Genomic DNA, 22,219 nt, shown 5'->3' with positions numbered 1-22,219 from the left:
TGGAATACTATGCAGCCATAAAAAGGAATGAGATCATGTCCTTTGCAGAGACATGGATGGAGCTGGAAGCCACCATCCTCAGCAAACTAACACAGGAACAGAAAACCAAATGCCACATGTTATCACTCATAAGTGGGAGTTGAACTTTGAGAATACATGGACATAGGGAAGGGAACAACGCACACCAGGGCCTGTTGGGGGGTGAGGGGTGAGGGAAGGGAACTTAGAAGATGAGTAATAGGTGCAGCAAACCACCATGGCACACATATACCTATGTAACAAATCTGCATGTTCTACACATGTATCCCATAATTTTAGAATAAATTTTAAAAAATAATAAATAAATCCATAAAAGATAGGTCTTGCTGGAGTGGCTCTGGGCTTGGTTTTCCTTTCTAACGACAGCTTCATCAATGACTACCAATCTTGACCATCGTTTCCTCACCAGAAACTCAACTCTGGCATTCAAATGTAGACAAAATTGGAAAAACCTTTCATTCAAACCAAGAAAGTATAAAATGATATCCAGCAATGCAAAGCCTGCAACTACAGGGGGGAAATCAGCTCAAGGAAACACTCCATTAACTCTAACCACCAAACTTCTTACGATTCTACTTCTAACCTCACACCTATAAATCCAGTTCAATGCACACTCAAGTTATATTTCTTTCTCTATAACCTCCTTCAGTCTGTTTGTGTTCAGATAAGTGCAATGATATACTCTGAACTGACCAAGGCCTCAGACCATTTTTTTTAAATTTCAGGGCAGATTGATGACAGGTGCCTCCAGGAGCTGTGCCTGGTAGGGTCTAGCTAATGTCATGGGAACAGGAGAGACAGCCATCAGTAGGTGCACCTTTCTTTTTGACCAACATGGCCTTTTCTCAACTCTGTATATTTTAGGGTGTGTCATGTATGTCTATCTACCTGCTCAGTGACATTGAGCAGAGTGCCCCATCACAAGGATACACCTCTGGACCATGACCACCATGAGGCCAACACAGCAGGAGGTGCTGCTACGGGCCTGGAGGGCAGAGGGAGCCAGCCGCAGGGGCTGCCTCATCTTTCTGGGCTTCAGGGTCTCCACCTACTGGGTGCAGAGTGGGTGCTGCACAATCTCTGAAGACTCTGACAGCTCTGAAGTAACCCTGTCCCACTTTATAACCAGAGCCGCCATACCGGGAGGTCTTCCCTTGGCCAGCTTGGTGACCTAAGGCCTTAGCATAGACCCCCTGGTTGTCCTAACGTAAAGAAAAGGCCGGGCACAGTGGCTCATGCCTGTAATCCCAGCACTTTGGGAGGCTGAGGCGGGTGGATCACCTGAGGTCAGGAGTTCAAGACCAGCTTGGCCAATATGGTGAAACCCCGTCTCTACTAAAAATACAAAAATTAGCCAGGTGTGGTGATGCACGCCTGTAGTCCCAGCTACTCCGGAGGCTGAGGCAGGAGAATCACTTGAACCAGGGAGGCAGAGGTTGCAGTGAGCCAAAATCGCACCACTGCACTCCAGCCTGGGTGACAGAGCGAGACTTCACCTCAAAAAAAAAAAAAAAAAAAAGAAAGGAATAGAGGAGGAAGGGAATTACAATATCTGCAGATATGCTCTTGAGACACAAATATATTTTTTATGGAATCCCATCCCTGACCCTCATTCAAGAACTATTACCTTTTTCTTTCTTTGCCTGTATTCATAAATACAGCTTTACTCAGATTGTTCAGGCTCCGAGGTAGTTTACAGCAGGTAGGCAGGCAGGTTTCATAGAGCCAGATGGCTCCTGGAGGCACAAATCCTGGTAAGGAAGTAAGAAATGGCCCAATAGGTCATTCTGGATGTGTTATTGCAAGCTGTTTCCACTGGGCCTTTCTCTCAGGGTGAATGATTTAAACAATGTATGCCTGAAATGGCTTTCTAGACCAGATCTCCCAGGTGGCTTCTTCGTAGAGACACAGGCTAGCATGTCAAGTGGGTGTTGTTTATGACAACCAAGTGATGAAACATCATATTTCTGTGCTTTCTGAACCATCATCTACCTATCATTTCATCATGGTATTAGTTCATTCTCTTTGATTGCAAACAACCGAAATCTACTTTGGCCAATATAAAGTAAATAGCAAGTTACTGAAAAGATACAGAGTACTTCATAGAATCTGGGAGAACATGAAGAACAGGGCTCAATCTCAGTGCTTCTTGGTGAATAAAACTAAGTTACTCTTTGTTATCAAAGTCAGGAAGTGGAGTGAAAGCTTTCCCTGGGATACACCTTCATGACCAGTCACAGACACTGGATCCTTCCTCACACACCCGGACATGTCATCTTTTCAAAGGCAAAGCTCTCGGCCGGGCAGTGTCCATGCACAGCATATGCAACGTCAGCATGCGCTACAGTCTTGGTTATAAATCACAGGCCCTGAAAAGGTTCTGCCACTGCCCCAGGCAGTCCTTGTCTGTGTCTTTCCTGTTTTACTCATTAGACATGAAGGCCTTCCCACTGTGAGCCTTCCATGATGGTGGCGTCAGGACATAGGGTGCCCCTTCCTGGAGAAGCTGGCATGTAACCAGGTTATCATATGTCTAACCATGTATAGAAATGTGTTAAAGGGAGAGTTGGCCCCCTGGTCTATCCAAATCTGTGCCAGTGAGGAATGTAGCCAAATCCTCCCACTGTACAGAGTGCACTGTTCCAGGAGAAACTGCAGTAAATGTATGATGGGGCTCAATGAGGAAACACCACGGCCTCTCGGGTGGATTATAAACACTGACCTTCTTTATTCAGCCACCTATGCTGCTGGTGAAAAGCTATGTGATATTAAATTTCCTTTGATGAGACAGACTTTGGCAGAAGGTTATAAAAGATACAAGCGTGAGGTTTGAAGCCAGAACCCTGACAGCTTACGAGCTACAGGATTTTAGGCAGGTCACTTAATGGGCCCTTGGTGGGGCTGTTGCCAGCTGCTGGATGATGTTATGTATGGTGCCTAGCATCAGTGGTTGCTCAGGAAAGGGCAGCTATTACTAAAAAGAATCAGAATGGAAAAGGTTTTCATGCACCTCTCCAATTTTTCTATCTGCTTCAACTCAGAACTGAATGCTATTTCGTGTGCCAGGTACATGTATCTGTGCAAGAGAAAAGGCTGAGGGAAAAAGAGAAAAGCAAACAGAACACCCAGACTGAGAGAGCAGGTACTGAGGCCAGAGATGGGGAATGGCGGGTGGGCAGCAGAAATGACCAGCCAGGCCCACCTAGGACATGAGGACAGCCTAAAAATCCATAGGCGGTGCTTAGAAAGTAAAATACCTGTCTTTAAAGTTCCTAAAACTTGACCAACTTATTTGGTAAATTGTTGAATGCCTGTGACTCCCAAGTGTGATCTGGCTGAGGACCCATGAGGAACCACATTCCACTTTCCGTGCCATTCTCTCGGGCCTCCCAGGAATCCCTCCTCCTTCCTCCTACCCCTTTTGCAGGAAACCCCCCAGGCAGCCCTCATACCTTGAGGAAATCCAGGAGTGAGCCCTATTTGTCTCAGTCAAGTGTGGCATCTTTGTCTCTCTTGTCAGTAATGGTTCTGGAACTCTGCCTGCAGCCATCAGCCTCAACATCCCCTAAGGACTGTGACCAGTCCAAGGATGGGCCTGGACCAGGCAGGTGGACCAGGCTCCACTGGCTGCTGGATCTGCTGCCTGTAGAGCCTGTAGAGGCTGCCACCATCCTGCAGCCTGCCTTCCCTTTGGACTTTCAAAGATGTAACACCTACCTTTACCACTTAAGCCAGTGGGAGGTAGGCTTCCAGCTACTTCCAACCAGAGCATCCTGAAAGGTCCACCTGGCAACTGCTGCTCCTCATTTAGTATAATGAGCAATGAGGACTAGCTGTGCCGCTGCTGAGCTGCTGAGGACTTGTTTTCCTTATCCACAGTGTGAGGCCAGCTCTGCTGCTGCAGGAGCCGTGATCTGCACCCTTTGGAAAGTCAGGCTCCACGACTCTTTCACCAAAAACTGCACCCCTGGGTCCCCGCCTTTCACCACCTAACTCTCTCTCCACGAACATGAGGAAAATTCAGGGTACAAATCACATACAGCAGAGACTGTAAAAGAATTTGCATTATTCAGTGAACTGGTTAAAAGAATCAAGCTAACTTCTAGAAGCTTCTAGTAATTACTTCCCTTTAGTCCCTTTAGTCCCCGGTGATCTGGGATTGTGAAATTGTTTTAGATATAGATTTTTCCAATCAAATTAAGTCTAGTAAGAGTGAAGCCAGATTTTGGCTTATAAGTAGACCTAGGTGGGGGATTGTGCTCAAGTCTTCTCCCATTAATTGGCTTCCTTTTAGCAGCAGCAGGAAAATCAGCCCAACTTGGCCTCCATCCCTGACTTCCCTCCGCTATAGAAGGCCCAACTCCAGGGGTTACTGCTCTTGTGGGCTAGCTTATTCTAGGTTCGCTGTGACACACAGGTGAAACCATTTCTTTTAGCTCACCTCAAATAAACTATTTTTCTTTCTAGGTGTCCCAGATACAATCATATTTGAAATCTTACACTCAGCTGAAGGTTCCAGCCTCTCCAACTCAGAGGCCCTCTATACTGACCATAATGTTGCTGTCTCCTTTCTCAGTGGATTATACCGACAGTCCCCGACCTTTTGGGCACCAGGGACTGTTTTCAAGGAAAACAATTTGACAATTTTTCCACGGACAGTGGGTGGGATGGTTTCACGATGAAACTGTTCCACCTCAGATCATCTTTCTCATAAGAAGTGTGCAACCTAGATCCCTCGCATTCACAGTTTATTTACAATGGGGTTCGCACTCTTATGAGAATCTAATGCCACTGCTGATCTGACAGGAGACAGAGCTCAGGTGGTGAGGCTTGCTGGCCCGCTGCTCACCTCCTGCTGTGTGGCCAGGTTCCTAACAAGTCATGAACCGGCATCAATCTATGGCCTGGGGGTTGGGGACCCCTGGGTTATACCTTTATAATCTCTCTCTCTTTTGAAGAAAGGCCCTTCGCCATCACATCAACAACCCTGGATATAACTCTCCCTGATAAAGCCCCAACAAAGCTGACTTCTTCCATGAGCTCATTTAGCCATTCGCTTGAAAGCATTCACTGCTTGCCTCTGTGTGCTGATGTGCTATGTAGTTACAGCAGAGAATAACAAGATAAAGAAGAAAGGCTCTGCACTTAGGGACCTTATCGTGTAGCACAGAATGCAAATAACTTTAATATTAGTCTCTAGCTGTATCATGGAAGAGATCCAAATGAAATGCTACAAGAGTTTGGGAAACAGATAAGACTTTCAGTTGGGGAAATCTGAGTGAAAGCTGCTTGGAAAACGTGGAATATAAGCTTGGTTTCAGAGGATTCATAGAATTTTAATTGGTAGCGAGGGTAAGGGGAGGGCATTATAGACAAAGAGAAGGGCAGAGGCAACAAGAGAATGGCAGGAAAGGTGGGGCACGCTCGGGAAGAGGTGGCGTGGCCGGTGGACAGGAAGCTGGGTAAAGGAAGACCTGTTAGCAAGCTAAGTCTGGTCCAGGTGGTGGGGAGCCTTGGGTATCAGGTTTTAAAGAATGTTTAATCTCATACATGGCAGGGAATCTTATTTCTATCTCAGCAGAGCTCCTACTGTATTTTACTTTAGCTTTTGGCGCATTTCCTCTCAAGTAAACTGGGACATCTGTCAGGGTCTCTTTTCTTCTCTGTCACCTCAGCACTTAGCCCACTGCCCTGCACATAGGACGTACCCACCCATGTGTGCACAATGAATAAATGAACAGATCAGAGCTTTACTTTTTGAAAAGTAATCTCACAGCTGGGGGGAAATGGATGAAAGTTGTGAGGAAGAGGGAAGGTCTGAAGGAACTAGAACCAGGAATTCAGAAGCCCGATTCCAGCAGTGCGTGTTGAAGGAGAATGAGAAGCAAAGATGGATTGGAAAGAAACTGTACAGGAAGTACCAATACGGCTCGATCAGACATGAGAAATAAAAATGAAGGGGAAATTAAATTGACTTCAAGCGTTTGCTCCCAGGCATCAAGAGGCCTGGTTGTGCTGGGGGTCAGCTGAAACCCTGCCTCCAGAGGACTCCAGCCCTATCAGAGCAGGAACTTCACTGTTCGCTGCTTTTTTCACTGCTGTGTCCCTAACATCAAGAACACAGATGTCTAGGCACTCAACGTTTTTTGAACAAAAAAATAAGTGAACATGTTGCCTTAAGATGACATTCCAAGCCCTCATAAATGTCTGATTTAGTTAGAAATAGGAGCCTGGTATTTAGCACTGAAAGTTTAGCTTTAAGAGTCATCTGCACAAAGGCAGTTGTGGGAGTGCGTGCCTACACCCCTACACAGCTGGGAGGTGTGGGTGGGGAAAGGAGGGGCTTCACAACCGCTGAGGTCAAAGAGTTTCAGAGAGAGCCTAACTGAGCAACTGTGTCCAATAGTCCAGAGAACTTACAGAGATGATGAGGACTTGGACACTGAATTCGGCAGATTGGAGGTCACTGTGACCTTCACAGAAGTAGTTTTAGAATTGTGAATACTGAAGATCACTTTCATTTTCCCTAGTCAGATATCACACATGTACATTTCCATACACAAACACACTCCCCTGTCTCTCTTCAAGAGTTGGGGTCAGCCAAAACACATTCATTTTGAGGGAATTAGGACTTTTTGCCAAAGGGTAGATGACTGTGTACGAATCCTATGGTGAGGCATTCCATTTGAGTGCACCGGTGGAGTAGAGAGAAAGCGTGTCAGCTGGGTTCTGTGCACAGCCAGGCCCAACACAGAGCACAGGTCACCACTGAGGGGCTGTCACAGTGCAGGCAGATCTTCCCTGACAATGGGAGGGGCCCAGCCTCCAGCCATGCAAGAATGAGGTGAGGTTCCAAATGTGTAGGGATTTGGGCCTCATCCAGGGCTGAGACACTCTGCGCTGACAGTGAAGCAGATTGGAGCCCCCAGCTTATGCTAAAATCGGCCCAGGCTCACTGTGATCCTTTAGGCCAGAAAAGACCAGCTGTCCACTGTGTGCCTGCCAGCTAGCACCAGGGCCCCCTGCTTGAGCACTTAGGAAGCCCTTCCTGAGCCCTCTCAAGCAGCGCTGGGCTTGCAAAGTCCCTCCCCACACTAGCTCCATGAGCATAGGGGTGTTTATTGCAAACATGACTAGAGTTCTCTTCATAAGTAAAAGCCTACAGAGTATTATTATTCTGGAATATCACTCATATTAGAAATCTAAGGAGAGGGGAAATCAGGTTATCTGAAAGAGAAAAAGAGCCTGAGCTTAGAAAACTCAGATGAATCTCAAGGACCTCCTCTTTGGAATTATTTGGAGAAGCAACCTAGTTCTCTGAGGTGCGGAATATCTCATCTCAGCTAGGAAGAAGCACTGGGTATGAAGGGATTTAGACCAAAACACAGGCTTGGAGACACCCAGGCAGTGTTAGCACAGAACTCTGCGAGGGAAGAGGCAGAGGAAAGTTAGACCTGGGAGGTGAGTGGGATGTTAACAGAAGAGGTGAAAGGGATCAGAAATATTCTGCAAAATAATCACAATAAAGCCTGCCAAGGGTGCCATAGCAGTCAGCCATCTGCTAGGACCCCAGACTCTGAAATTTTCTGACCCAGGGCCCACGAGGCCTCTGCGCGCAGGAGAGTGCCCTGGGGAGTGCAGGGACCTGCTCGGTAAATCTCCATTAGATCAGGCTGAGTGCCCTGGGTGGAGGGACAGAGTTGCCAGAAATAGCTCCTTTCCTGCAACGGCAGGAAAGATCGCAGCTGCCATAAGGCCTGTGCAGAGGGGGCGCCCCGGTGGAGGGCGGAGGGCAGAGAAATGGAGTCTGCACCGAGAGGCGGGGACCAGGAGGCGGGAGACAGCCTGGGAGCCGCTTTGAAAGGATCTCATAAAAGTGCCGTTTGTTGGGAGCCCGGAGGAAGTGGAGGCAGCTTTGGCACACGTGGCCACGGTGCTAAATTAACTGCTAACACAAATAATCAAAGTGCAAGACCCATCGAGAGGCTGGCGCCAGCGAAGCGCGGGGGCGGCGGTCAGCGGGGCTGGCGGGCGGCCTGCGGCAGGTGAAGGCAGGGCGGGGGCGGGGGTGCGCGGGGACCGGGACTCCAGGCAGAGGGATGTGGGGGCCGCCGGCGGATGTGCTCTGGGACCCAGGGCAGTGGGAGGAAGGGACTTGGGGAGGGCGCACCGCGGGAACCACGGCGGGGGGAGGCCGGTGGAGGTGAGAGCAGGGGGAGCTGCGGGGAGTCACCCGGAGACTCTCACCCAAGAGAGGGGATGGTGTGCCGGGGACGTGCCCCGGGACTCAGGCAGGGAGAGGTGGGAGTGGCAGACTTGTCCTGGGCCTCCGAGTAGTTGAGGGGGAGGGGGAGAGGGGTCACACCCGGGCAGGGGAAGGCAGAGCAGTGCGTGAAGCGGAGGGGGACAGGACGTATATTGTCCGCCGACCTGACCTGTGGCCGGGAAAGGCAGGGCTGGGGATGTGCCCCCGGACTCAAGGCAGGGGAACGGCTGGTGGAGGAGCCCTGATGGGACCGAAGGCAGGGGTGGCCGTCCCCGGCGTGGCGCTGCAGTGAGCTAAGGTTCTTCCTTCTGCACAGGTGTGCATAAGGCGCACAGCTGCTCTCTGATGCCCCTCGCCGCCACCTGGCCGTGATGGTGGCAGGGGGCCTTACTTGGCGATGAGGCAGGCGGTGTAACTGAGGGAGCAAAACAGGTCAAATCTGAGGCCTGGCCGTCGGAGCTTTGTTGCGGGCAGGCCTGGTGGCTTGGCCGACCTCCCACTGACTAGGGCGCCCTGACCTCCCGGACGAGGCTCCCAGGGAGAGTCCCGTGGAGGAACGCCATAGGGAACCTGCTTCCTGGGTATACACTCCTTGTTTCCACCAGCAGCAAGGTTGGAATATTTTTTCACAAACTTTTTTGTTAGCCTTGGCCTCCGAGCTGTGTACCAGAGGCCATCGGCTTCAGTTTGTAGATAGAGAAAAGAGGATGGACATGACTGCTTTCAAAGCTGCCGCATGCAGCTTGGAGCATTCCTTCTCAGCACTGGTGATATCCACTTTGCCATGAAGTAGGATGGAATAAACCCGTTTCTAACAAGGTGGAAGAGGAAGCCCCAGTAATGGCAGGTGTTCTGGGGCGACCTTCTTGGGGTCCTGGAATTAAGAGAAGGTACTTCCTGGAGACAACTGTCTTTCGAGAAAATTCCTAAGCATTGGCTGATACCTATTATTGGGTAAGGGATTCTCATCCAGTTGTTTGTTTGTTTGTTTGTTTTTTGAGAAAGAGTCTCACTTTGTTGCCCACGCTGGAGTGCAGTGGTGCGATCTCAGCTCTTGAAACCTCCGCCTCCCAAGTTAAAAAAAATTCTCCTGCCTCAGACCTCCTGAGTAGCTAGAACTACAGGGGCCCACCACCACACCCAGCTAATTTTTGTATTTTTAGTAGAGATGGAGTTTCACCATGTTGGCCAGGCTGGTCTCGAACTTCTGGCCTCAGGTGATCCATCTGCCTTGGTCTCCCAAAGTACTGGGATTGCAGGTGTGAGACACTGAACCTGGCCCCATTCTTTGTCTCTAAGATTCAAAGCAAGGTGCAATTAGAATTAGTCTAGCAAATAAGTTGCAAAGAAAAAAAATAGAAGCCAGCCAGCAGCAGTGCAGGGGAGCCTCGGGCTCTGTGAGATAGCCACCCTAAAGACACCTTAGTGAGCACACAATCCTGGCTTTACTGAGCCAAAGTATCAGCTTCTGAAGACTGAAATAGAAAGGCAGATTGGGGAACTGGCATAATTTAGTTTTTGTAAGTTTTTAGAAATTGGATTTAACTTTAATTTTAGTGCATTTATGTCCAACACATATGTTTACACAGATGCAGCCAATGAAAAACAAGAATTCCTCTCTTTGGAAAAGGTATTAAAATCATAATAAAATGAATAATGCTAGTTAGATTCCCACTGGGTGTCTTTATAAGAAAGGAAGATTGCTGAAATGCATCCTCCACTTCTTCCCTGGATGGTTAGAACCACCTTGTGAGACAGGTGTGGTCACGAATCCTATACTCACACCTGAGGACACCAGGCCCAAGGGGTCAGTGGCCAGCTCTGAGCCACCAAGGATGGCCAGGGAGCCCATGTGATTTAAACCCAAGGCCACATCTGGAGCTGATGCTCTTTCAACCCTCCCAGGAGGAGATGATACAGAAAGGTCACAAGAATGCATTATCCCTCTACATTCATTTCTTCAACGAGTATTTAGCTCCTACCATGTACCTGCGTCGAGAACCAGGAACCAAGAAAGAAAAGTAAGCAGATGAGGTTCCTGCCTCATGGAGGAGCAGGGAGAGGGACATGGAGCAAAGCACCTCCAAAGTGACTGTCTATTATAGGCCATGCCTGTTTGCGGAGTCCCAGCACTCAGATAGAAAAAGACAGTGACCTCGAATTCTCACAGCACCACCCCTGTGGTGACAAGGACCCGGCCAGAATCCTCAGTGCCTGCTGGTTGGGAGTGCTGGCTGGGCATTGGTTTCCTCCCACCGGGCATCTCATGGGCCAGCCTCTATTGTCATCCCCATTCCACAGGTGAGGGAAACGAAATTGAGAGGGATTGAGGGCATTCCCCAGGTCTCACAGGAATGGCACAGCCTAGCTTCAAACCATGTCAGGTTTCATAGTTTTTCAAAGCTTGTTTTCTTCTTCTGTGTATTGAAAAGAGGATAGGACTTGCGTCCTTGGTTGACTTGTGTGACGGCAGCATTGGGAGCTGGGGGCGTGACCACAGTGGTGTGATGTGTGAATGCAGCACACAGCCCAGGGAACATAGCCCAGAGTCGGAGGGCTGGCCGCTCACCCTGGCATGGAAGGCCCTCGCTCCACCTGGGCTCGCTCTTATCACTCCATGCACAGACAGGCATTAGCTGAGGCAGGCAACAGATGATAGAGAACAGCACCATGTCCCCACGCTGCCACTTCACAGCATCCTTCCAGCAACCTGGAGTACTTCCCTTTCTAGAAAGGAAGAAACTCAGACTTTGAAAGCTTGCATCCCTCGCACAGTTAGGAGCTGAGAATTAGAACCCCAGGACTCCAGGCCTCCAAAGCCTGTGCTTTGGCCACGGCAGCACAGAGCTCCTCTGCAAAATGAAGCAAGTAAGAACTAGAAGTGACCAGGCACAGTGGCTCCCGCCTATAATCCCAGCATGTTGGGAGGCCGACGCAGGAGGACCACTTGAGCCCAGGAGTTTGAGACCAGCCTGGTAACATGGCAAAACCCCATCTCTACAAAAAATAAGAAAAATTAGCCAAGTGTGATGGTGCACACCCATCAGCTACTTTGGAGGCTGAGGTAGGAGGATCACTTGAGTCCAGGGTGATTGGGGCAATCATACTGCTACACTCCAACCTGGGCAACAGAGTGAGACCCTGCCTCCAAAAAAAAAAAAAGAACCAGAAGTCTCTCTTCCAGCTCAGCTCAATGTGCAATCATTTTAGGGTGAAAAGAGCTACAAATTCAGTTTCTTATTTAAAAAAAAAAAAAAACCATTAAACTAGGTCAGGAAAACAAAATGATACTTGGTGTAGCCTGGTCCAACTCTAAAGACTCATAATGGAACATCCAAATTGGTTGGAAAGGGGCAGAATTATCTGTAATTGTGCCCCGGTCATTGTGCAGGCCAGTTCTGGGCACACGGGAAGCCCAACACAGCCCCTCTTTGGCTGCCCAGAGATTCCCAGGGGCAGCAGAAACAGGGCCATGCTCCTCAGTACCCCCACCATGCCCACTTCTCACAGCACCCTGAGCCATGTTATAGGATTCGAGAGCTGACCCACTTGTGCAGGAAGGGTGCGCCTGTCTTACTCAGGGTGCCTTCCAGTTTGCAGCCAGTTCTCATGCTGGGCAATGAGGAGGATCCCACTGAAATCATCCGAAGTACTCATGGCCTGAGGCCCAGGCCACAGTAAGGAGATCAGGAAGCCCTCACTCATTGGTGCTGCCATGCTGATGATGTGAGTTCCAGCAACTCCTGGGTTGTTCTGAGCAGTCGTTGATGTGTGTCACCCATAGGAGCATGCGATGGGCACACTGGGTCCTGGGTACCCAGTGCCTCTCCTCCCCACCCTCAGAGCCCTTCCCAGTCACAGCCACTCTGACATCAGCCTCTGATTCTCTCTCCTCTGACAAGACTTGCAGAGACTTTTCTATGTTCGCCCTACTCGTAAGAGGAAGAAGTTTCTAGAGATGGGATTTCCGATGCTGCGAGAAGCAAAAGGTCCTATCTGCTGCCTGAAAGGCAGTTTTATATTCTGCATAATCATAAGAATGCCTCTGTCTTAAAGAGCAAATTTCTACTAAAATCAGACCTGTGTAGGGCAATGGATGAAGAGTCCCAAGCTCTGGCTGTGAGCTGATAAGCTGCCTGCCGCAGGCAACACTGAGCCCAGCCCAGTGCCTGACTTCCCAGGCTAGCACAGCTACAGGGACTTTCTTATTTGGGGTTTTCTTGGCCTCTGCGCAGATGCAGTGAAGCATGCTCAGGTCAGCAGGGAGATAGATGCTCTTAAAAACAAAAGCAAGAGTTGTTTCTTCCTTCTGGGTACAGGGGCATGTGTCAGATTCCAAGGGCAATTTTCCTAGCATCTCAGAGGTACCTCTAAGGGACTGGCTGTCTTCCCACTATTAGACTCACTTAGACCACCTCACAGCCGCAGCCATTCTTTGAGACTGGCTTTAGGGCAGCTCCAGAGGCAGCTCTGGTACAGAGGACGGAACCCTAGCCCAGAGCCCCAGAGAGCCACTGCTTTCCTGGCTGCACCTGCCTATCACAAAGCCCTGCCCTCCTGGGTCCTGCACGAACTCCCACTCCTCTCCACTGGGCCTCTGGGAAGACCTGCTGGCATGGAACGGCCATGTGTTCTGCACTGTCTCTGGCACTGCACTTCCCCAGCCCACCTAGGACCCAGAGCCTCACTAACCGCCTCTGAGGCCAGGTGGCTTCCTTGTGAATGCATAGCCTCTGGTAGGTTTGTGCACCAGCTCCTCCAGTGTGCCGGAGCTTTTGTGGCATGGACAATGGTTTCCTGCATTTACGTGCAGGCTCCCAGCCCACAAGGTAGACTCTGAGGAAAAGCAGCATGCCTTCTATGGCTCTGGTGACAACAAGAAATGCCAGACCCAGTAGTGGAAACAGCAAAGGGCCTTCCTGAGCAAACTCTTAAGACCAGCAAGAGTGCAATGAACAAAACTGTACATAGCGAAAGCCCCTGCAAAAGGCAGCTTATATTTACCACACCATAGCAATCTGCATGTGCAGAATGGGTCCAGGGATAGCATACAAATAATGTCTCATCACCTCATTGGAATTAGAAGTCAGAAGCATAATATCTGAACTTTCAAGTGACTACATTAAGGATAAATTCCTTGAAGATAGGAATTATATCTCATTGACCTTCTTAATCCCAATAGTCACAGGATAGAACACATTAAGAACTGAATGAATAAATGACAGCTGGTAAGAGAGGGGATGAGGAAAAGGAAAAAATAATATAGGTTAAAGCATTCAGTCACTAAATAAAAAGTTCATTTCGGGTTGTATTATTATTACGAAATGAGACAAGCATATCTACACAAAGCTCTTTCTACTCCACTCTTGAGACAAAGCATGACTCTGAGGAGCACGGGGCTTTGCAGCAGATCCTTGAAGCTGTCCTGCTCTGGTCCTTCCTGTGGGAGGGGACCCCCAGCATGCAGCACCTCAGTTCCCCTCTAGGCTTCTATTTCTAGGTTTTTGTTTTTGGGACAAGATATCTCTCTGTTGCCCAGGCTGGAGTGCAGTGGTGCAATCATGGCTCCCTGCAGCCTCGACCTTCCAGGCTCCAGCGATTACCCCACCTCAGCCTTTTAAGTAGCTGGGACTACAGGTGCACACCATCGTGTCTGGCTAGTTTTTTTATTTCTCTTTTTTATAGATGGGGCCTTGCTATGTTGCCCAGGCTGGATTCTATCTCCTGAGCTCAAGCGATCCTCCTGCCTCAGCCTCGCAAAGGTTTCTATTTCTATTCAGATGAAGAGCTTGAGTCAGCTAAATTTGACACCTCTTGTGAGATTCCAAAGGTTCAAAAACTACTGGAACATAAGGCAAAAGGATCTTTTTTTTTTAACCATACTCAGGAGGTCGGTCGCCATAGCAGCCTTTTTATAAGAGAAAGAGAGAAGTGGTGGGAGGTGGAAGGTAAAATACCAGCCCTCAGAGCATCTCCTGCTTTTTTTAAAGTTCTTATAATAAACATGACTTCTTTGTGCTTTATATTCCCAACACCCTAGCTATTTGCTTGCAGCACTTGAGAAAATACATAGCCTTTTACTTGTTTAAAAAGAGGGGTTTTTTCAATACAAAAAAGTTTTAATATAAGAACCAGCATAGCAGCCAGAAGACTATCTGTTTTAAAGGGGATGTTTTGCTGATTCCAAGTCTGTGACAACATGTAAAACAGACCAATTAGAGAACATCCCAGGAACCCTCACCCAACGCAGCTGTTCTAGATGCAGCTGGGGTTTGCTGCCTGCTCTTTTCTGAATGTGTCCAAAAGTCTTCTCCAGAACATCCAAATTTAATCCCAGTGTCAAGATTCCAAGGCTTAATCACTCAGCTACAAGGAGATTCCTTTGAAGCTTGCACAGTTTGCGGAAGTGTGGGGAGAGAGGAGGAGGTGGTAGAGAAGGGAAGAGTGTGAAGCCAGAGGATGTACCCTGCTGGAACCTGTGGCCGGGGTGCCCACAGTCTGTAGTCACCACAATGAGCCAACAGCACTTCAGCCTTATGCTGCTGGCCCTTCTTTCCTGTCTAGAAACTGAGGGTTTTCCATTTTATTTTCCAAAGAAGCCAGAAGTATTGTACATTTACCGTAATAAGCCCAAGGAAAATGGTATTACAAACCAAATAAAAATGGAAAATAAAACGAAATTTTAAAAAGTAAAACAAGGCAGTTGGTCACCAAACTTTTGTAATTGAGAAGAAAGATGTCTTTTACCTTATCTGCTCTACATATTTTTCTCTCCAACTTCATGGGCAGCAGAGCTGTTGCCTTTACCAGGAAGCTGTTCCGAACATTGTAATGAAACCCCTCAGATATTCCAGGCCAGTACTGTTTTAAAAAGAGATGTCTAAAAATTCCATTGTACTTGAGATTTCTCCAAATTAGCCATGCTTTGTGCATTTTTTGCCAGAATTCCACTACTAAAATCACTCAAACCAGACCTGCCTTACAAGAACTCCTGAAGGAAACACTAAATATGGAAAGGAAAAATTGGTACCAACCACTGCAAAAACATACCCAATTGTAAAGAATGTCAACACTATGAAGAAAACTGCATCAATTAATGGGCAAAATAACCAGCTAGCATCATAATGACAGGATCAGATTCACATATAACAATTTTAACCTTAAATGTAAACAGGCTAAATGCCCAATTAAAAGACACAGACTGGCAAATTGGATAAAGAGTCAGGATCCATCAGTGTGCTGTATTCAGGAGACCCATCTCACGTGCGAAGACATACATAGGCTCAAAATAAAGGGATGAAGGAATATTTACCAAGCAAATGGAAAGCAAAAAAAAGCAGGGTTGCAATCCTAGTCTCTGATAAAACAAACTTAAAAAGTTGGTTTAAAAAACCAACAAAGATAAAAAAAAATAAAAAAGAAGAAGGGCACTACATAATGGTAAAGGGATCAATGCAACAAGAAGAGCTAACTATCTTAAATATATATGCACCCAATACGGGAGCACCCAGATTCATAAAGCAAGTTCTTAGAGACTTACAAAGAGATTTAGAGTCCCACACAATAATAGTGAGAGACTTTAACACCCCACTGTCAATATTAGACAGATCAATGAGACAGAAAATTAACAAGGATATTCAGGACTTGAACTCAGCTCTGGACCAAGCTGACCTAATAGACATCTACAGAACTCTCCACCCCAAATAAACAGAATACACATTCTTCTCAGCAACACATAGCACTTATTCTAAAATTGACCACATAATTAGAAGTAAAACACTCCTTAGCAAATGCAAAAGAATGGAAATCATAACAAACAGTCTCTCACACCACAGTGCAATCAAATTGGGACTCAGGATTAAGAAAATCACTCAAAACCGCACAACTACTACATGGAAACTGAACAACCTGCTCCTGAATGACTACAGGGTAAATAATGAAATTAAGGCAAAAATAAATAAGTTATTTGAAACCAGTGAGAACAAAGATACAATGTACCAGAATCTCTGGGACACAGCTAAAGCAGTGTTTAGAGGGAAATTTATAGCACTAAATGCTCACATCAGAAAGCAGGAAAGATATAAAATCAACACTCTAACATCACAATTAAAGAACCAGAGAAGAGGTTGGGTGTGGTGGTTCAGGCCTGTAATCCCAGCACTTTGGGAGGCCGAGGCAGGCGGATCCTGAGGTCAGGAGATCAAGACCATTCTGGCTAACATGGTGAAACCCCATGTCTACTAAAAATACAAAAAAATTAGCTGGGCATGGTGGCATGCACCTATAGTCCCAGCTCCTTGAGAGGCTGAGGCAGGAGAATTGCTTGAACCCAGGAGGCAGAGGTTGCAGTGAGCCCAGGTCGTGCCACAGCACTCCAGCCTGGGTGACAGGGCAAGACTCCATCTCAAAAAAAAAAAAAAGAACTAGGGAAGCAAGAACAAACAAATTCAAAAGCTAGCAGGAGACAAGAAATAACTAAGATCAGAGCACAACTAAAGGAGATAGAGACATAAAAAACCCTTCAAAAAATCAATGAATCCAGGAACTGGGTTTTTGAAAAGATTGACAAAATAGACCACTAGCCAGACTAATGAAGAAGAAAAGAGAGAAGAATTAGACACAATAAAAAATGATAAAGGGGATATCACACTGATCCCACAGAAATACAAACTACTATCAGAGAATACAATGCACACCTCTTCACAAATAAACTAGAAAATCTAGAAGAAATGGATAAATTCCTGAACACATACACCCTCCCAAGACTAAGCCAGGAAGAAGTCAAATCCCTGAATAAACCAATAATAAGTTCTGAAATTGAAGCAGTAATTAATAGCCTACCAACTAAAAAACGCCCAGGACCGGAAGGATTCACAGCGAAATTTTACCAGGGGTACAAAAAGGAGCTGGTACCATTCCTTCTAAAACTATTCTAAACAATAGAAAAAGAGGGAATCCTCCCTAACTCATTTTATGAGGCCAACTTCATCCTAACACCGAAACCTGGCAGAGACACAACAAAAAAAGAAAATTTCAGGCCAATATCCCTGATGAACATCGTTGCAAAAATCCTCAATAAAATACTGACAAACTGAATCCAGCAGCACATCAAAAAGCTTATCAACCATGATCAAGTCGGCTTCATCCCTGGGATGCAAGGCTGGTTCAACATATGCAAATCAATAAACATAATCCATCACATAAACAGAGCCAATGACAAAAAACCACATGATTATCTCAGTAGATGCAGAAAAGGCCTTTGATAAAACTCAACACCCATTCATACTAAAAACTCTCAATAAACTGGGTATTGATGGAAAGTATCTCAAAATACTAAGAGCTATTTATGACAAACCCACAGCCAATATCATACTGAATGGACAAAAACTGGAAGCATTCCCTTTGAAAACTGGCACAAGACAAGGATGCCCTCTCTCACCACTCCTATTCAACATAATATTGCCAGGGTAATCAGGGAAGAGAAAAAAAATAAAGGGTATTAAAATAGGAAGAGAGGAAGTCAAATTGTCTCTGTTTGAAGATGATATGATTATATATTCAGAAAACCCCATTGTCTCAGCCCAATGTCTCCTTAAGCTGATAAGCAACTTCAGCAGTCTCAGGATAAAAAATCAATGTGCAAAAATCACAAGCATTTCTATACACCAATAATAGAGAGCCAAATCATGAGTGCACTCCTATTCACAACTGCTACAAATAGAATAAAATACCTAGGAATATAACTTACAAGGGATTTGAAGGACCTCTTCAAGGAGGACTACAAACCACTGCTGAAGGAAATAAGAGAGGTCACAAACAAATGGAAAAAACATTCCATGCTCATCGATGGGAAGAATCAATATCGTGAAAATGGCCATACTGCCCAAAGTAATTTGTAGATTCAATGCTATTCCTATCAAGCTACCATTGACTTTCTTCACAGAATTAGAAAAACTATTTTAAATTTCATATGGAACCAAAAACGAGCCCAAATGGCCAAGACAATCCTAAGCAAAAAGAACAAAGCTGGCGGCATCATGCTGCCTGACTTCAAACTATACTATAAGGCTACAGTAACCAAAACAGCATGGTACTGGTACCAAAACAGATATATAAACCAATGGAACAGAACAGAGGCCTCAGAAATAATGCCACACATCTACAATCTCAGAATGTGAGAAAATTTCTACAATCTATCCATCTGACAAAGAGCTAGTATCCAGAAACTACAAGAAACTTAAACACATTTCCAAGAGAAAAACAAACAATCCCATCAAAAAGTGGGTGAAGCATATGAACAGACACTTCTCAAAAGAAGACATTTATGCAGCCAATAAACATATGAAAAAAAAGCTCATCATCACTGGTCATTAAAGAAATGTAAATCAAAACCACAATGAGATACCATCTCACGCCAGTTAGAATGGCCATCATTAAAAACAACAGGAAACAACATCAGGAAACAACAGATGCTGGAGAGGATGTGGAGAAACAGGAAAGCTTTTACACTGTTGGTGAGAGTGTAAATTAGTTCAACCATTGTGGAAGACAGTGTGACAATTCCTTAAAGATCTAGAACCAAAATGCCATTTGACTCAGCAGTCCCATTATTGGGTATATGTCCAAAGGGTTATAAATCATTCTACTATAAAGACACATGCACACGTATGTTTATTGCGGCACTATTCACAATAGCAAGGACTTAGAACCAACCCAAATGCCCATCAATGATAGACTGGATAAAGAAAATGTGGCACATATACACCATGGAATACTATGCAGCCATAAAAAGGAATGCGATCACGTCCTTTGCAGGGACATGGATGAAGCTGGAAACCATCATTCTCAGCAAACTAACACAGGAACAGAAAACCAAACACTGCATGTTCTCATTCATAAGTGGGAGTTGAACAATGATAACGCATGGACAAAAGGAGGGGAACATCACACACTGGGGCCTGTCGGGGTGGAGGGCTAGGGGAGAGATAGCATTAGGGGAAATACCTAATGTAGATGATTTGATGGGTGCAGCAAACCACCATGGCACGTGTATACCTATGTAACAAACCTGCACGTTCTGCACATGTATCCCAGAAGTATAATTAAAAAAGAAAACTGAGGAAATAGAGATAAACAAAAGGAAAAAAATTACAAAATACAAAAAAAAAATCACTCAAGACGTTAAAAGAGCTCAGGAAACTAATTTACGTGAAATTAATGTAACTTATTTCAACTTTGTTCTACACAATTGATAAGAATGAAATTCTTCAAACTACAGACTTACACCCCCACCTTTGTTACCGTTTGTAGAAGGACAACAATCCACTTCTTTCCATTTGTTGTCGAACTTAAAGGAAAACTCAGAGGAATTTCTGGAAGATTGTATGTTTTCCAAGAGATTTCAACAAGGGTTTTTTAAAGTTTTGCACTTTTGTAGATTTGACAACCACAAGCAACTAAACAGGAATGAAACATATTGTTCAAAACCAATGACTTATTTTTTTTTACAATTTTTTCTCTCACTTTTAACAATCATTATGCAAACCTCGACTTATTGTATGTACAAATAAAATAAGCATACAACGCATTTTGTCTTTTTTTTTTCCTGCCTCCGGTTTATTTGCACAAGTAGCACAAGAGGACCCCAGTCCCATGCAGATGGCAGCCCGGGTCGGGGCAGGGGTCGCACCAGTCCTTCTATCCTCACATTGGCAGACAGAGATACCTACTCTGAAGCCTTTGTAGGGGCCTGGGCACCTTTGGGAGCCTGAGCTGGAACTGAAGCTGGAGCTGCAGCGTCGGCCTTGGTTTGATCCTTGGGCTTGGCCTTGGCCTTTGGCCGGCACAGCCTGAGCCTCTTGGCCATGCAGGCATGACCATGCTTCCCAAGCTTGGAGTGGGCAACGTAGGCAATCGATCGAGCTTGCGGCTGACACCCTTTGAGATCTTGGGCTTAACCTCCTTGGGCTTTACGAGGGCCTTGATAGCCTTGGCACCTATGCTCATGGCCTTGGCATTGTTGGCCTGCATCTTCTTTAGGCCCTTCTTGTGCCTCTTGGCAAAGCGTATGTTCCTCGGGAACTTGGGGTCCACCTCCTTAAGAGATTTGTATCTTTGTCATCGGGGTTTCTTCATACCATTTCTGTGCCATTTTCGGGACTGGTTGTGTGTGGCATGGGTCTTAGACTTGGCCATGTCTGCACCTTAAGCCGCGGCTCCTGAAGCGCCTAGAACCGAAAGAGAAAGGGGCCACCCATACATTGCATTTTGATAACAATCTTCTCAACATATTGTGTGTGTCTCCTGACCCCACTAGTTCGGGTTTCGTCAGGGCTGCCTGCGTGATCTCAAGGCCAATCAGGAAGGAGCAGTGAGGGTTTTTGTCCTGAATGAATTGATATCAGCAAATGAAGGTTTTCAGGGCTTTATTGCAGATCACACCCTACTGCTGTTGATAGTTTTTCTTGTTGTTGTTCTTTCTTTTACCCTTTATTTGGTGGTAGAAGTGGAAGTTAAGAGTGTGGTGAAAAGATAAATATGATGCTTGAAGATTAGAATCTGACCTTTGTTCTGATCAGCCCCTGGCCCTGTGCAGTTCATGGCATCCACACCACATATGGAAGTCCACTTAATGAGACAAGCAGATATTCTGCAGTGGAGATGGTGAAGCTGGATTTTCATCTCCTAAGGAGAGAGCTGATTTCATTCCTCAGCTTCAGAGAGAAGTGAATCAAAAGATGAAATATAGCCATCACGCCTTCCTCCCTTCCCTACATGTGCTATCTGCACTACAACTGTCTTGACTCACCTTTCTCCATTGTTCTCCGTTTCCCCTTCTCTTATAGAAAGCCCTTTGCATCCTAATCCTACAAGCAATGTCCCACCTGCCACACTCAAGAGCCCTATGAGGGTCTGCAGACCGTCTGTTTCCTCGCTTCCTGTCCTAACCTCACACCACATTGTTTATTGGGAATGTGGGGAATACCAAAAATAAGACATAATCAAGCTCACCGCTTTGATGGTTAATCAGGAAACCTCACTTGCCGCCTATTGGGAACACATCGTTAGCCAATGGAGAGGAACAAATATTTTGAAAGAAAGGTGGAAATTTAAGTGGGGGGCTGCAAAAGAAGCCTAATATTACTCCTCAAAAGACATTGCTACCAGAGCCACATGCATTTCTTTTTTCCTTGCCAAAATATTCAAACCAAGGTTTGTAGAAGAACTTTGAACCCCACACTTTATATCTGCACATGGGAGCTGAGTTGAATCTGTGCTTTGTTTTTTTAATTTATTGAGGAGGAAAAAAGCCTTATCTGTATGCATTTGTAAAACCTAATGCATGACCTACTTTTTATATTACCTAATTTTGAGATTTTGGTTAACCCCCCCATTCTCTTTAAGTCTCAGTTTCTTATTCAATAAAATATGTGGCTTGGACCATTTGTTGCTATGGTTCACTCTAGTTCTAAAATGCCATTCTCACCAAATTTAAATCAACTTCACCATGGGGACAAAGCACGAGAAATTTATGGAAAATGACAAGTCCTGAGCATAGAACCACATCCCTGAGCTGTGCCCTGGAGGAGAGTTGAGAATGAACACCCATTGAGATTTAAATGAATGAGAAATAAACCTTTGTGGGTTTTTTTTTTTTTTTTTTTTTTTTTTTGAGACTGAGTCTCGCTCTGTCGCCAGGCTGGAGTGCAGTGGCGCAATCTCGGCTCACTGCAACCTCTGCCTCCCGAGTTCAAGTGATTTTTCAGCTTCCAGAGTAGCTGGGACTATAGGCGTGCACCACCACACCCAGCTATTTTTTTGTATTTTTAGTAGAGACGGAGTTTCACCATGTTGGCCAGGATGGTCTCCGATCTCTTGACCTCGTGATTCACCTGCCTCAGCTTCCCAAAGTGC

The 22,219-nt window shown here is 46.0% G+C and overlaps 1 long non-coding RNA gene and 1 pseudogene across 2 annotated transcripts in view; both read right to left on the bottom strand.

Moving 5' to 3' along the window:
* Positions 1–22,219, bottom strand: part of LOC105375821 (uncharacterized) — a 127,805-nt gene that overhangs the window by 69,503 nt on the left and 36,083 nt on the right. Inside the window, exon 1 of one of the 2 annotated variants that reach the window (XR_001745893.1) lies at positions 1,667–1,907. The exons of the other annotated variant lie outside the window; for it this stretch is intronic. This is a non-coding gene — a long non-coding RNA (uncharacterized LOC105375821). Of the gene's footprint in view, positions 1–1,666; positions 1,908–22,219 lie in introns of those variants that run through there. 2 annotated transcript variants of the gene reach the window in all.
* On the bottom strand, positions 19,909–20,547 carry RPL29P19 (ribosomal protein L29 pseudogene 19; annotated as a pseudogene).

The sequence above is a fragment of the Homo sapiens genome, chromosome 8 (genome assembly GCF_000001405.40).
Source record: "Homo sapiens chromosome 8, GRCh38.p14 Primary Assembly".
NCBI classification, from domain to species: Eukaryota; Metazoa; Chordata; class Mammalia; order Primates; family Hominidae; genus Homo; species Homo sapiens.
This window is presented reverse-complemented; position numbering and strand designations above follow the sequence as displayed.